This window comes from Homo sapiens, chromosome 14, assembly GCF_000001405.40.
Source record: "Homo sapiens chromosome 14, GRCh38.p14 Primary Assembly".
In the NCBI taxonomy this organism is placed as follows: Eukaryota; Metazoa; Chordata; class Mammalia; order Primates; family Hominidae; genus Homo; species Homo sapiens.
Window position 1 is genome coordinate 98,885,152 of NC_000014.9, and position 15,652 is coordinate 98,900,803.

Below are 15,652 nucleotides of genomic sequence, written 5' to 3' on the forward strand. Positions count from 1 at the left end.
CAAATCTCTCCTTCTTCTCAATCCTCATGGCCTTACTCACATCCTAAATGGTTTTCCTTTCTCTCTTCTGCCCTTTCTCCACCCTGTGGCCAACAGAGAAATCTTCCAAGATCATGCCCTTTACCAATCACTCCCTTGTCCCAGACTCTTTGATGAACCTGAGTGATAAAGTCTCATCTCGACTCATTGGTCTGGAGTCTGTGGCCCTCCTGACCACTCCAGCCTACCCCTCCAAGTCATCTTCTAATGCCTCTGGCCTCTTGTTATCTCTGTGCTGGCCTGCAGACAGCCCTCCACCCCTGACTCCTTATCCCTCCTTCCTGCTGGCTCATGCTCTTCCCTCCAAATGGATTTTCTTCTCTCTTTTTCTTTCCTAATCCTCTTCACCCTTGAAGAGCCATCAGGCATTGCCTCCTCCAGAAGCCCATCTCTGTGCTCCCAGAGCCTCTGTGCCACATTTTGCGTTGCACCTGGGAAGCCACACTGGGCGGGCTCTAAGGGAGTCTGCTGTTCCTCTGGGTGATCGCAGTGGCAGAGTCTTTTCAGGCCCAAATCCCAGCCCCCAGCACTAAGACCAGGCCCACAACAGAGGCCTTCCGTCTATGTCAATGAAATAAGCGGGAAGGGCCTGTCTCTTTCCGCCAGGACAAAGGAAGATACGCATATGCTCTGGCCACCTCTTTGAGTGCTATTGTGGTCCTTTGAAAGGAAATGATTCTGTCCTTTGCTAGATGTGAGATTAAGAAGCTTTGCAGACTCCCAGGGACCACTAGATCTGGGCTGACCAAACCAGACCCAGAACATAGAATGCATCCAGCCAAGGGCCAGGCTTGCGGGCGTGTGGGCCGGCAGTGGGACAGGCTCAAGCCGGCCTGGCCACCACATCTGATTGCCACAGGGTGACCACAGGCTGCAGGGCCAGCTGTAAACACGCAGGTGTCACAGGTCTTCGGCCACAGAGGAAGCAGTCCCCACCCGTGCTGGGGCTCTGGCCTCAGAAACCAGTGACACTACTGGGCACAGCCCCGCATAGAGCCCTGCTCTGCCCATGCACTGCAGGACACAGGGAAACCAGGAAACACAGCTCTTGTTGGTCCTTCTTTTCTCACTCCCTCTCCTGCTTCTTTTCCTTCTTTTCTTTCTCTCTTCAACAAATATAAGTGTTTAGTTGCCGTTGCAGGCCCTGGGACACAGCAAAATGTCATAATCCCCCAGATAATTTCCTTTTACTCTACTTTCATTGCTTGAGTAGCCAAGCCCCATGTTAGGCCGGGAGGATGTAGTAACGAGAAGGGGATACACTCTCTGCCCTCCTGGAGCTTGGAGTAATACCACAAATAAATACATGGGGATTCACGGCCATGACACGCAAAAAGGCAGAAAACAGGATGGACCTACGGGAAAAACAGTACCAACAGCAACAGCAATCAAACCCAGACAGGCTCCCTGAGGCTGGGCATTTGAATCCACAGAGGAAGGATGAGTGGGGAGGTAACTGGGTAGAACCCAAGGCCTGGCCTGGGTACAGGAAGGGGGCATATTCCAGGCAGGAGAGAGTAACGGCAAAGGCCCAGAGGTAGACAGGATATAGCAGGCAGTAGGTCTAAGAATTGAATAATATGCCAAGTAAACACATAACTGGGCTCCTTCTCCTGGATTCCATGCTTCCAGCAATGGTGGATCCCTGTGAGTTCCTCCATAGAGGCCAGCGTCCTCCCAGACATGAAAGAACAGGAGCCAGAAGAATGGGGCAGGGAGAGAGGAGCCCAGAGGACTAAACAGGGTGTACTTATGTCCCCTGAGGAGAGGGTTGAGGACGAGTGGTCTGAGTCCCACACCAGGAAGGGCAGAATGGGAAAGAGGGAGGAAGGGTGAGCAGAGCCGGCTGCAGGGAGAGCCAGGCACGCTCCAGGAAAGCCTGGGAGCCCGCAGGCTGGAGAGGTACTCTGGCCTGGGGGCGGAGGGCAGGCTGACTCAGAGGGCCCTGCCAGGTGAGCAGGGAGCCAAGGTGCGTGAGGAGGCAATGCTGGAGGCCAGTCTGCACAGGTCCCCTGAGGAGGGAAGGTGGGGCGGGAGGAGATCAGAGCAGGGGGCAGAAGGCAAGGCTAGGGCAGCGCCTGGGGTGGAGTGGAGGTTATTGAGACTGGCTGGTGCTGCCAGACACCACTCAGTGACAGACGGGTGAAGGCACCAGGGTGGAGAGAGGTTGGGCATGGAGGCCCAGACCAGGGCCTGCCCCACAGTGCAGAGAGGTGAGCCTCACAAGTCACTGAGTTTCCAGGGGCTGCCCTTTCCTCCTTTAGGCTGGAGTCAAGTTAAAAATAAATCTGCCACTTAAAAAAAATAAACAATTTGAGAGTCACTGTTTCCAATACAATGCATCATTTCACAGCCACCAACTCATCATTTCCCCCGCCATGATCTCTGAGTCAAGCAGGAAGATGGACAGACTCTTAGGAGGCACCTGTGCTGTTGCTCGCAAGTGGACTTTACAGCAGGATGACCTGGTTTCGAATGACTGCTGTGTGAATGGGAGCCCAGTGACTTAACCTCTCTGTGCCTCAGTCTCCTCATGTGTAAATGGGGTGTAACCATTGTGAAGATGAATGAGTTCGTGTACATAAGCGGCATTTAGAAAAGTCTCATTTGGCTAACAAGGTGAAAGCCCATCTCTACTAAAAATACAAAAATTTAGCCGGGCGTGATGGCGGGTACCCGTAGTCCCAGCTACTCAGGAGGCTGAGGCAGGAGAATGGCGCAAACCTGGGAGGTGGATCTTGCAGTGAGCCGAGATCGTGCCACTGCACTCCAGCCTGGGTGACAGAGCAAGACTCCACCTCAAAAAGAAAAAAAAAAGAAAAAGAAATAGAAAAAGAAAGAAAACCAGATTAAAGCAAAGATCCAGCAAGAGTTAGACGGTATGGATGGTGTGGCTTCTATCTTCTTTCTTTTTTAAAAAAATTCCAACTGGAAATCATGGCACTGAAATCACAGTGAGGAGTTGAGGCTGTGACGTTGTTGTGGGGGCCTCAGGCAGCTGTGTCAATTACTCCAGGAAGTTCACCGGGAGTCAAGGCTTTCGAGCCATGCCCTGCCAGGAGAGCTCACCAGCTTGAGAGCAGGACAGGTGGTTTCGGGTTGATTCCCACACGAATGGGGAAGTCCCCAGCCCCATCTTCCTTTCTTCCTAGGCATCCAGGGGGGTGATGGTGGTGGGAGGATCCCCCTGGCTCCCTCCTCCTCCTCTCCTTTCTTCTAGATGAAGTACCCCTGGGCTCCACCCCAGGTTCCCTGTCTAACTCCACTCCCCACAGACTTGGCCCAGCCCTGCCCCAACCCCAGCTTCCAAGACCCTCAATAAGCTGATGGCTCTCAAATCCCTATTTCCAGCCTCTCTGCCAGGAGGTCTAAATGCATGTATGTAGCTGCCTTCTCCACCGTCCATAGTGGGCATGGCTGGGTGCCTTATTTCCTGGCAATTTGCAACTGCTTCTGTGCAAGCCAGAGGAGGGGCAGTGCTGAGTATTTCAAGGTTGCCATTTTATCAGACAAGTACCTTGGAGGGTGAGGGACAAGGGAGAGAGTAGAAGACTGTGGAAGTGACTAACTAAGTACCGCAAGCCAGTGGATCTGGGTCCAGGGTGGGGTGGGGATACTAGAGGGAGCTGGAAAGAGAGGAGTGGATGTCAGGGAGAGGATGTTTGCAGCCTGGAGTTTGCAAGCGGTAAAGTTATGGCAAGGGAACAGCGAAGTCCAGGGGTGTGTGTGGAAGCAGAGGAGGGAAATAAACGATTGGAAGCAAAGTCATCCACCCATGTATCCAAAGTATGTTCTGAATCTGCGCATCATTCTCCCATATTAACCAGCCTGGCCCTTATCTCCTACCTGATCTCCCTGATCTCTCTCCTACCCCCAGCCCCTCACTTTATTCTTTGCAGATCAAACAGAGTTGTCTTTTAAAATTGCAAACTGTGTCACGGCACTGCCCTGTTCAAAGCCCTCAGATGGCTGCCATCACATGTAAGATACAATCCTAACTTCTTGCCCTGGCTGCCACACGCTATGCTCTCAAAGCTTCCTACCTCTTTTCATTCCCATCTCTTAAAGGCTTTGAATTCCTCCAGATGCAGGAATCCCGCTCCTATGCAACACAATGTTGCTGCACCCCCACCCCATGCAGTGGTGAAGACTGGAATCTGACTGGGCCTCATGATGTTTAAGCTACAACCTGAGTAACAAGAAGATCTGGGGAAGAGCAAGCCAGGCACAGAGGACTGCTGACCTGAGTGACCTTAGGCAGGAGCAGGAAAGCCAGTGGGGCTGGAGTGTAGAGGGCAGAGGGAGGGAGTGGCATGGGAGGACGCGTCAGTCAGCCTCTGCCATGTAACAAATGGCCCTGAAGTTAGCAGCTTGCAACAACCACCATCTCAAATTTCTTCTGATCCCATGCGTTGGCTGCACAGTTCCTCTGCTGGCATCACTGAAGCACCTGCAGCCACACTGCCCTGGAAGACTGGCCTGGCTGGGAGGTCCAAGACAGTGTCACTCACGCGTCTGGCAGTGGGTGCTGTGCTGGCCGGGATGCCTCAGTTCTCTCACAAGGCACAGCCTTGGCACTCAACCAGTCTCAATTCCCCTTCCTGCCTTTCCTTCACTGTCTTCTAGACCTGGAGTTCTTTCCAGTGGAGGCCTGAAGCCAACCTATCATTGTGAGGGGATTCCAGGAACGCTGGCGCAGCCCTTCAAATGCAACTCCTCAGCTGAAATCCAGGCCTGCTGGAATGAGATGGAGCTCCACAGGAGAGACAGATGCTAAACCCTGGCCCGGGTAGCCCCGGAGGGCAGGCGAGGCCCGCTTCTCCCCAGAACAGGGCTGACAGACCTCATGCCTCCTGGCTCTAAGATGAGCCCCATTCGGTGGCAGCTTGGGTGTCTGTGAGACCAGCACCATGGGCTTTGATTGGCATCAGCGTCATGGCACCTCTCTGACCCTCAGGCTTTTCTTCCATAAAGTGAAGGAACAAAACAGAGGAGGTGGGAGTGTTGGGAGCACCTTCAAGTACCACTGCGTGTGAAGCATCCTTTGTGCTCAACCCGTGAACAGACAATTATCCGTGATATTCTGCTGACTGGGTAGCCTTTGGTCGACCAATGCAGACCCCTGTAACTCTGCAAGATGACAACTTAAGTCTGAGTTACACGAGAAGAAAAATCACAATATGCCTGAGAAGCAAGAGGCTGCACCATGCGATCCTAAGCACCCAGTTCATTTGTATTTTCAGGGAAAGAGGTGGAAATCTCTCCTGCTGCACGAACTTTAAAAAGCCAGCACAGAAATCTCTTGACAGCTCTGCTCTCTGGAATTTCATTGAGGCACTCAATGGAACACTTTAGTTGCAAAGTAACCATTTCTATTGTTCTGAGTGGCCACGATCCCTTTTTATTGATGTCATAAAGTAGGTATTTATGAGATGAGGTTATTAAGATCAATAGAATAAATGGAACGCCCAATTCTATCTTTTTCAGAGCGGCACAAAGCATTCTCTTGGCGCAATCCCAGTGAATAAAGGGACCCGGGCGCTGTCACATAGGCCTAATCCCAAAGCAAAGAGCTCACCCTATTAACGGTGACTCCCTTTTACATGCTTCTTAAAGTCAAAAATTCTGTTGGCCCTAAGTAGACTTTATTGAAATTTTTTTTTAAAAAAGAGTACAGACTGGAATTCATTGTGCAACTGGATTTACTACCTTTATAACCAGGTTGGCCACACTAGCTTTCATTTCACCAGAAGAAGAAAAGAAATAACAAGGAGAGGAAAGAGCCTTCTGTTTTTAAAGCTGTTTGGAAACATGTAACTGGTTTACCTAATACCCCTTTCAAGGGAAAAAGATTCCACTGCAGGGGAAAACGCTTGATCCTAGACTCGACACTGGTGGTTAAGGGAAGCCCTAATCTCTGCAGAGACTGCTGGGCTCTTAAGAAGCTAATGCTGACACAAGCCCTGGAAGGCCCGCCCACTCCTTCTTCCAAGCGAAGGAACAGCAGAACAGGGAGTGAGTTGTTGATCTGTTTTTGCACCAGAACGAATGCTTCCAGGGGTAATTATCAAATGTCTATATTTAGACAAACTCGGCCCATTCTGAGATAATAGCACAGGCTCTTATTTACCAAGTGTGTTTTCCAAGGAAGAAAGCATCCAGCAACCGTGCTCGGCATATTTGCTTAGGTTAAAGCAACCTGGGTAACTAGGGGGCAGAGCCACCGCGCTTTCTGCAGCGGCTTTTGGAAACTGATTCTGACTGCACCCCAACATCCCATGGGGCAGTTCACATCAGTGGAACTGGGAGGAGCCTAGCCAGCACCCAGCACATGTGTTCCACAGCCCTTCACAGAGGTTCTGCTGTGTGCCTAGCACTATCCTAGGCACTGGCTGCGACTGTTCTTGTTTTTGTAGCTATCTTGGCCCACGAGGCCATTGGTGGTCACACCCACCTACCCTGTCCACCTTCTCCCCACTCTCATCCTCCATGCATCCTACGGGCAGGTCAAAGGCAACAGCTTTGTGTGTCCTTTTCCTCCCTGTGACATCCACCCTAGGCCCTGATCAATGGGATCTCTGCTTCCCATGTTCCTTTTCCCTCTCACGAGTGAGATAAGATGTGTCACATCTTATCCGTGGATTTATTACCTCCTGCAGTGATTAAAGAATCTGCACATAAAACAGTATCAAGTTACTCCAGAGCCACTCTTCAGGGTCTCTGCGTCAGCGATGGAAAGAGGAACTCTTCCCTTGGCCCTCAGGGCCAGGGTGAGCAACCCAGATTGAGCCCCAGTCCCTCCCTGAAAACAAGCTGGGGACAGACGCGGACAGATGTAGATAGTGAGGACAGACAGCAGAAAATCACGGAGCATGCAGGGATCTCAGAACAACAAGAGGACATGCCCAGCTCCCCAGCCCACTGGTTACGAGGCATTTCCACATCCATGACCTCATCAGGTCCCTCTACCAGCCAGGGAGACAGTGGATGCCGATCTTGCTTTGGAATTGCAAAAACCAAGCTAGGTGACCTGCCCACAAACTAAGAAGGTGCAAGAATACAAGTTTAAGCCCGTTCTTCCAAAGCTGGAGCCATTGCTCTTTTTACCACACCCCAGGGAGCAGCATGGCATGCCCAGTTGGGCTGTTCCCAGAGTCCCCCTGCCAGGCTTCAGGTCCCACTCCACCCCCATGCAAGCTGGGAGACCTCCCAGGCCAGGTGCCTTATTAGTCCCTCTATGCTTCGGTCTCTTGCCTGGAGAATCGAGGTGCCATGGTGAAATATGGGTGACCCTGACTGTGATCAATAGGGTTATCTTCAGGATTATGAGATAAGATGCAGGAAAGCATCCATATGGTGCTGGACATACATGAAGCACCCAGTAAATAAAAACAATTGTTCTACTTCATTCTTTAGGTCAAGAACTTTACAGATGAGAGGTTGTATACTTGACTGAGACCACACAGCATGGGGCAAAGTCAGGACTAACCACAGACATTCTGATGGACAAAGAGCCTCAGAGTGAGAGGCCCTGCCCTAATAAGATGCAGAAAACATTTGTAGCCCCGTTTAGGCAGTTAGTAAAAGGTGGGTCCAGGATGACACCCAGGATGACACCCAGGTTGACTCCGAATCCTTTGCTCTTTCTCACTTTATTAGGCAGGCCTTCCTTTTGGTCCCACCTAGGTAGAGAAAAGGAGGTGCCACTGAGTCACTAGGTGCCATGGACCAGGACAGCAGGATCCCAAGGTGATGAAGAGTGAGCCACAACCTCACTCGTTCCCCTGGGGTGTGCTGGGCACCATGCCTGCTGATTTCCATCAACTGGGGCCTCCTGGCAGCAGAGCTCAGCCTTTACAATCGTCCTTTCTGAGTGGGTATCATTTTATGATGGGCGAGACCTCCCATGTCCTGAGAGTAGCAGATTTATAATTGAGCAAAGCAAAAATGCCATTAGATCAAAGGTCCCAGGAAGTGAGGCCTCGTCAGTTCTCAGTAAAACATCATTTAAGTGGACATCAGGGATGGGAGTCCAGCAAGGGCATGTTCAAATTCAAGTCATCTAAGTGCCTAAAGTAGTTGGCCATTTCCTAATGACACGGATGGCTCTCATGGCAGGTGCTTTCCCTGGGATCTGAGCTCATATAGAAACAGAGGTTAAACACAGAGTATGGACTTCCAGAGCTGGGAAGAACAGAGGCAACCCAGTCTTTTGCTTCCGTTTATTTTACAGTTGAAGAAATAGAAGGAAAGCAACTTGCCCAGATGTCAGGTCAGACCAGTGACAGAGTTCAGGCATTCATTCATCAAACTCTCATGGAGCATGCCGTCTGTGTCAGGTCCACTGCTAGATGCTAGGCATATATATATAACAAGACTTAGCTCAAGGAGCTCCTGCTCTCAAGGAGTTCACCATCCAGTGGAGCATAGAGTGATCCTCTGAGGATTCAAATGGAGACAGGAGCTACAGACCATCAAATCCAGAGGGACCAAGTACAAATGTCTGATTTCAAAAGCAAGTGGAATAAATGACAGAAGCAGAAATGTGTATCTCTTGGTACTGTATTAGTCAGAATGAGATAGCTTGCACTGCAATAACAAACAATGCACTCACACCATGCCCAAACAGGTTGGCAGAGGAGGCTTAACTTCACACAGTCACTCAGGCTGACCAAGGCCACCACCTTGCAACTGCACCTGCTAGAACACACCAAGGCAGAGAAAGAATGCCAGGAATCTTGGACCAGCAATTACATTCTTAAACTCATAAGTAATATGCTTCACTTCAACCAGCTGCCCTAACCAATTCACTGTCTACTAACCAATTCAAATTAGTCCTGTGTCTCTACCTAATTACAGAGGGGTGGGACATCATAAATCTCCAACAAGCCCAGAAGGGAAGGCAAGTGGATGTGAGTGAGCCTTAGAACCCCACGGACACACTTCTGCCCTAATAGATGCTTGAGACTATGTTTCTCTTCCATCAAAAAACTTAGCTTATCTTTCTTGAAACCCTGTTTCTTTAGTTTATTTTTTATTTTCCCACTTTCGATAAACACATGAACATAAGATATCTTTTGTTCCTCTTAATGTTTCCATAAATGACAACTAGCATTCAGCCCAGAGTGGGAGCTATAAGGGTGAGTGGAGACTGTGGCATAAGGGGGACAGAGAGAGGAGCAGCTTCTGCCCTCTCTGCCTTCCTGTGGCCGTGTTGAAATGCCAGCAGCCTAAGTGGCACCAGTTGGTTTTTTTTCAAAGGGAAGCCAAAAATCTGATTTTTTCAGTAGAACCTCATGATGTTAATATATTAGCAAGTAAGCCAGCTTTTTTTAAAAAAAAAGTGATGGCCATACTACAGACACCAAAAATGTGTAAAATAAAAATAAATGCCTGGCCATCAGTGGGAGACTTCTGCTCCAATCAACATCTTCTTCTCAAAGAAAGGGGCAAGGCTCCAGGGGAAGGAGAAACTGGCCTGAAGTCAGCAGCAGCTCAGGAGACAGGAACAGCCTGGGCGAGAGGACCTATCCTCCGAGTACTGGTGTACTTGGCCTCTCCTTAAGATTCTCCCATCAAAACCGACCAACACGGCTCCTGCTGAAATGCAACACAGCTTGGCGTGGGTCCAGGCCTCTTCCCTGCTTCCTTATCTTTGCTCAACTTTGGTTATTCCAGGGCTTGGCAAGCCTTTGAACAACACCAAGCTGCCAGACTCACAAACTAAGAGAACTTCCAGCATGGAGGAGCTTTCCAATGGTCCCTGCTCATGGAGATGTCCCAGGGAGGGCTGGCAGGGGTGACCTCCCGTGAGGAACCTCAGCTTTCCCATTCAGGACAGACCCCCATCAGAGCTGGAGCCTCCAGTCTCTTAAATTAATGCATGGCCCAGGGGGCTCTGGGATCCCCATTGGGTGTCCTTCTACACTTAGACCCTCTCCTTCCTGAGCTCCAGATCTTTTTCCTGGGAGCAGCTCATGCTGCCTGGGATTGAGACTACCAAACCAAAGCCATGCAATGCACCCAGGGGTAACACAGGGCTACTCATATCGCACTGGATGCTCTCCAAAGTCCTGACAGGCAGGATTTTGCCAAAGAGCCCTTGTTGACCTTAAAGACTCAGAGGGGAGGCCAGGCATGGTGGCTCACACCTGTAATCCCAGCACTTTGGGAGGCTGAGGCAGGCAGATCACCTGAGGTCAGAAGTTTGAGACCAGCCTGGCCAACATGGCAAAACCCCATCTCCACTAAAAATACAAAAAATTAGCCAGGTGTGGTGGTGGGCTACTGTAGTCCCAGCTGTGCGGCAGGCTGAGGCAAGAGAATGGCTTGAACCCAGGAGACAGAGGTTGCAGTGAGCTGAGATCACGCCACCGCGCTCCAGCCTGGGCGACCAAAAATAAAAATGAAAAAGACTCAGATGGGAAAGATCACATGACTGGTTAGCGGCAGAGCTGGAAGTAGGGTCCTGGTCTTTGAACTTTAAGGACACTATTTATTTTGTCCATTTTCCATGAACAGAAAGTGAAGATTTGTGTCAGATGAACAACGGGCAGTATCATGGCCACTACATTCATTTGTTCATCTGAGAAAGAAAATGTGAGTGTTTATCACGTGCCAGCACTTTCCAGATTTCAGATGTGTCTTCATCAGTTCGGGATACTATAACAAAACACCTTAGACTGGGTGTCTGCAGCAGCAAACATATATTTCTCACAGTTTTGGAGGCTGGAAGTCCAAGAACAAGGTGCTGGCATGGTGGGGTTCCTGGTGAAGGATTGCCTCCTGGTTTACAGACTGACACTTTCTTTTTTTTGTTTTTTTTTTTTTTTTGAGACAGTCTCCCTTTGTCACCCAGGCTGGAGTACAGTGGCGCGAACTCGGCTCACTGCAACCTCCACCTCCCAGGTTGAAGCGATTCTTCTGCCTTAGGCTCCCAAGTAGCTGGGACTACAGGCACCCGCCACCACACCCAGCTGATTTTTGTATTTTTAGTAGAGATGGAGTTTCACCATGTTGGCCAGGATGGTCTAGATCTCATGATCTCACGATCCATCCACCTCGGCCTCCCAAAGTGCTGGGATTACAGGCATGAGCCACCATGCCCCGTCCAGACAGACGTTTTCTTGCCATTTTCATATGGCAGGCAAAGAAAGTGCTGGTCCCTTCACTCCCTTATAAGGGTGCTAATCCCATCACGGATGCTTCACCCCATGGCCTCATCCAAACCCTATCCCCTCCCAAAGGCCCTGTCTCCAAATACCACCACAAAGGGGATGAGGGCTTCAGCACATGAATTTGGGGGAAATGCAAACATTCAGTTCAATATGTAAATACGTAAAACAAAACACATACACACCACCCCCACAGATTCGGGAATTGTTACAATTTGCAATTTACAGAGAAAACAGAGGCTCTAAGTTACACAGATAAGAGCAGACAAAGCGGTTGGGTGTGGAAGAACAAAGCTGCAGGGAGGATCTGCATCTGAATTCTCAGGCCTAGATCAACACTTCAGGTTTAAAGATCTCTCAACCCCAGCCAGAGACAATGGAGGGAATTAACACCACTGACAGCCACCACCACGCCTTATTCTGCACCACGTATGATTCCAAGGACTTTTTTTTTTAACAGTTTCATTTACATACCATAAAATGTACTCGTTTTAAGTGTACAATTCAATGCTATTTAGTAAATTTTCAGTTATGCAACCATCACCACAATCCAATTTTAGAACATTTGCACCATCACAAAAGAATCCCTCAGGCTTATATACAGTCACGTCCCACTCCCCTCTGTCCCCAGTCCGTAGCAACCATGAACCTACTTTCTCTTTCCATGGATTTGCCCACTCGGGACATTTCATGTAAATGAAATCATACCATATGGGGTCTTTTGTGCCTGGCTTCTTTCACTTAGGGCGATGTTTTTGAGATCCACTTTTTTGTAGCATTATCAGTATCTCTTTCCTTTTTATTGCTGAATAATATTCCATTGATGGCTGTAACACATTTTCTTTCTCTATTAATCCATGGATGGGCATTTGGGTTGTTTCTACTTTGAAGCTATGATGAATAATACTGCTGTGAACATTCACATACAAGTCTTTGTGCAGAAGTGTTTTTATTTCTCCTGAATAGATATCTAGAAGTGGAATTGCTGCTGTGTAAATTTATGTTTAACTTTTTTAAAAAACTGCCACAGTGTTTTCCAAAATGGCTGCAGTATTTCATGGTTCCACCAGAAACGGATGAGGGTTCCAGTTGCCCCACACCCTCACCAACACTTGCTATTGTGTATCTTTTCACTATTGCCAAGTGATTTGTTGTTATCAATTAACTTAGAGAATCCTGGCAGAAACCATAGAGATACAAGCTGTTCTTATTCCCACTTGACAGCTGGGAAGACCGAAGTGCAAGAATGATGAAGCCCCTTGCCCAAGGTCACAAGCCGGTAAGGAGCAGAGTCAGGGCTGGACCCAGGTCTGCCTCTCCCTGAGGCTGGTCTGCCACTCACCACCCTTCTCTCCTGCCTCCTGTGGCATTGGGCAGTGCACTGGCTTTCCCCACATCATCCAACCATTAATCAGCACCTACCAAGAACCAGCACTGACAGGTCTCAAATAATCCGTGGTCACTTGTGTCATCTCATACTCTCACTCACAGCTAGCTTTTTCCTGCAGAAACTAAGATTCAAGAGAAGTCACCATCTCTCCAGGGATCAGCAAACATATTCTGTAAAGGGCCAGAGAGTAAATATTTTAGCTTTGCAAGCCCAGTGGTCCCTGTTCCAAATACTCAACCTTGATCCAGGAGTGCAAAAACAGCCATGGACGATACATAAACGAATGGGCATGGCTGTGTTCCAATAGAATTGTATTTACTAAAACATGCAGGAGGACAGGTGTGGCCCACAGGCCATAGCTTGCCAACCCATGATTTTTTTATCCATTGTTACATGACCAGGAAGGGACTGAGTAAGAATTTGAATCTGAGTGGGCCTGACGTCTTGGAGCCCGTGGTTGTCCCAATCCTCATAGCCTTGTACAAATCCACTTCCCATGTTGATTTCAAGACACTCTTTCCATCCGGGTTGTACACAACTCTTCCCCTCCATTATTGCTCATGACTGGCTGTGGTCATTAATTCATATATTTAGCACAATTCAACCACTAGCAATTCCTCATGCCCCAGGCTCACGCAAATATAACAGGAGCACAAGTGTTGGCCCCAAATGCCCAGTTCAAGTCCCAGCTCCACACTGCCTGGCTCTGGACCCTCTCAGAGCCTCACTCTTCTCATTTGTAAAGTGGAGGCAGTCAGAGTGCCTGCATCATAGGTTGGTTGTAATAATGAAATAAACTCTAGGAACATCACTTTCAAATAGGGCCTGGCACAAAGTAGGCTATCATCAAATGATAGTTATCGCCAGGTAGCCCCCGCCGTCCAGGAACTGGCATCCATTTCACATCAACGCATTATTTAATATCTCACGGGGGAGAGCAAAGAACGCACTGAGGTTAAAAGTTCCTATGTAATAATTATCATTGGCTGCGCAGGGTGGTGCCATACGGTTCTGCACAAAGTGGAACAGCCCGAGGACAAAACTGTAACACGGTAGTAGTAATAATAATGATAATAATAATAATAATAGCTCACATTTATTAGGCATTTAGTAAGGTGACATGCTAAGTGCTTTCCAAAGACGGTCTCATAATAGCTCGCATCAGGACAGCCCTTCCGAGCTGACAAAGCGTTTTCCTGGGCTGTATCTCACATGTACCTCCCATCAGCCTGTGAGGGTGGCCTCTGTGTCCTCTCTAGTTTACAGATGAGGAAACCGAGACTCTGCGAGGCAACGTGACTTATGCAGGCAGCCAGTGAGAAAGTGGTCAGGCAGGACTGTCACTCAGGACTCTGAATTGCAGAGTGGGCTCCCTTTCCTGACTTCACGCCCCACCCTCCCCATGCGAGGCTTCAGCCTCACGTTTTCCTTATGCTTCTGCCCACGGCTGCAGAGGGAACAGCCATGCTAAGACACCAGGCACTACCCACTCCCAGGAGTGGGTCTGCTCCAGAAGACTGGGGAGGGGGAATGCTTAGCCAGGAGAATGCCCTGTGGCAAGAGGTTCTCATGCAGGCAGGGCCTGCCTGGTGCTTGAGGACCTTCAGGCTGGGGTCCTGCCTGTGGTGGATGTGCAATGTGGAATTTAAAGTGGGGAGAAGCCTGAGCAGCCACTGTATTTGACCTCCCTCCCCAATGCTAGAATGTTCTCACAAGGCCATGCTCTGGGGAAATGCCTCCAAGAACAGGGGATGATTCCTGCCCCCAACCCCAGCAGCGTGGATTGGGAAAGTCTGTTTGTGTGACATCGTCTAGACAAGCCAGGGGAGCCCGGTGTCCTCTGCCCTGTGACAGCCTGAGGGCAGTGCTGCCGGCCGCCACACTTCCTCTCCAGGTGACCCTGCAGTTGCAGCCTGCACCGTTTGTACCTGGTGTCGTTTCCAGACACCTTAAGGGGCCAGCTCCGGCTATGTCTTCACCAACCACACCCATGGGTGGCTGGTTTGGAAGGACACAGACCAACCTTGATCATTTCCCTCCCCTGTGAAACAGGAGTGATGACCCTCGCAGTGTGGCTGGTGTCTGATAGAATCAGAGGCGGTACACGCCAGGGGCTCCCTGGAAAGACACTGTGAACTAGGGCTTCTCTGGCAGTGGTAGATGCTACCGGCTCTGTCGCAAAGCCAAGAGTCCTTCAACAGGGGCCGGAAGGCATGCCTTCATTTTGCATGGACCTCGCACAGCCTCTCCTATTGGGTGAAAGGGATTTATTAATAGAGGAAACAAAATTACTTTAAAAAGTATTTATTTAAACGTTTAGTTGACAAATAAAAGTCGTACATATTTGCTGGTGTGAAGCTTGATGTTTTGAGGTAGGTACACACTGAGGAAAGGCTCAATCAAGCTAATCAACACATCCATGGCCTCACATACTTCCCATTTTTGTGTGTGCAGTGAGAAGAGAATTACAATTTTTTATTTAAAAATGCAGAAAGCAATCTTCACGGCGAACGCCATGGCCATCAGAATCGCGTCTAATCTGTCGCTCCCTCATGGTTCCCGCACTCGGGCTGGGGCAGCAGCGGACCATTACCCCCCACCAGGAACGGCCCCCAAGGACATGAACAAACAGGGATGTGCCTGCTCCCATCAGAGCCTCCCAGGACCCCCAGCCAAGCACCAGGACATGCCATCCATTTGCCCTGCTGTTCCTTCTATCTGGAAGACACTCTCTGTCCCTTCTGTCTTCATGTCCTAGAGCCGCCATCCTCATGGCTCTGAAGCTCTCCCAGGCGGCGTGGGTGTGAATGCTGCCGCTTCCTTTCTTGGTGTGTACTATACGGTGCCATGTGAGTGCTGGCCCCCATGCCTTACTCTCCACCAGCCTGTCACAACAACAATGAACAGCCACTGTCCGCTGAGCACTTGCTGCACGTGAGGCACAGTGCTGGGTGACTTAGATGTGTGTTCTTGCGGTCCTCCCTAAATCCTTGATAGTCAGCCCTTTGGTCTCATCCTCTGAAGAGGAAACTCAGGTTGGCGATTTTTC

General features: G+C 49.6%; 3 annotated features.

Annotated features, from left to right (window-relative positions):
- Positions 367 to 873: an enhancer, noted in NCBI's record as "H3K4me1 hESC enhancer chr14:99351855-99352361 (GRCh37/hg19 assembly coordinates)". NCBI's record gives its function as "activates a minimal SCP1, AML or CMV promoter by ChIP-STARR-seq in naive H9 embryonic stem cells {active_cell/tissue: H9 hESC(naive)}" and the evidence as "EXISTENCE:reporter gene assay evidence [ECO:0000049][PMID:30033119]".
- Positions 10,537 to 11,134: an enhancer, noted in NCBI's record as "NANOG-H3K4me1 hESC enhancer chr14:99362025-99362622 (GRCh37/hg19 assembly coordinates)". NCBI's record gives its function as "activates a minimal SCP1, AML or CMV promoter by ChIP-STARR-seq in naive H9 embryonic stem cells {active_cell/tissue: H9 hESC(naive)}" and the evidence as "EXISTENCE:reporter gene assay evidence [ECO:0000049][PMID:30033119]".
- Positions 11,135 to 11,730: an enhancer, noted in NCBI's record as "NANOG-H3K4me1 hESC enhancer chr14:99362623-99363218 (GRCh37/hg19 assembly coordinates)". NCBI's record gives its function as "activates a minimal SCP1, AML or CMV promoter by ChIP-STARR-seq in naive H9 embryonic stem cells {active_cell/tissue: H9 hESC(naive)}" and the evidence as "EXISTENCE:reporter gene assay evidence [ECO:0000049][PMID:30033119]".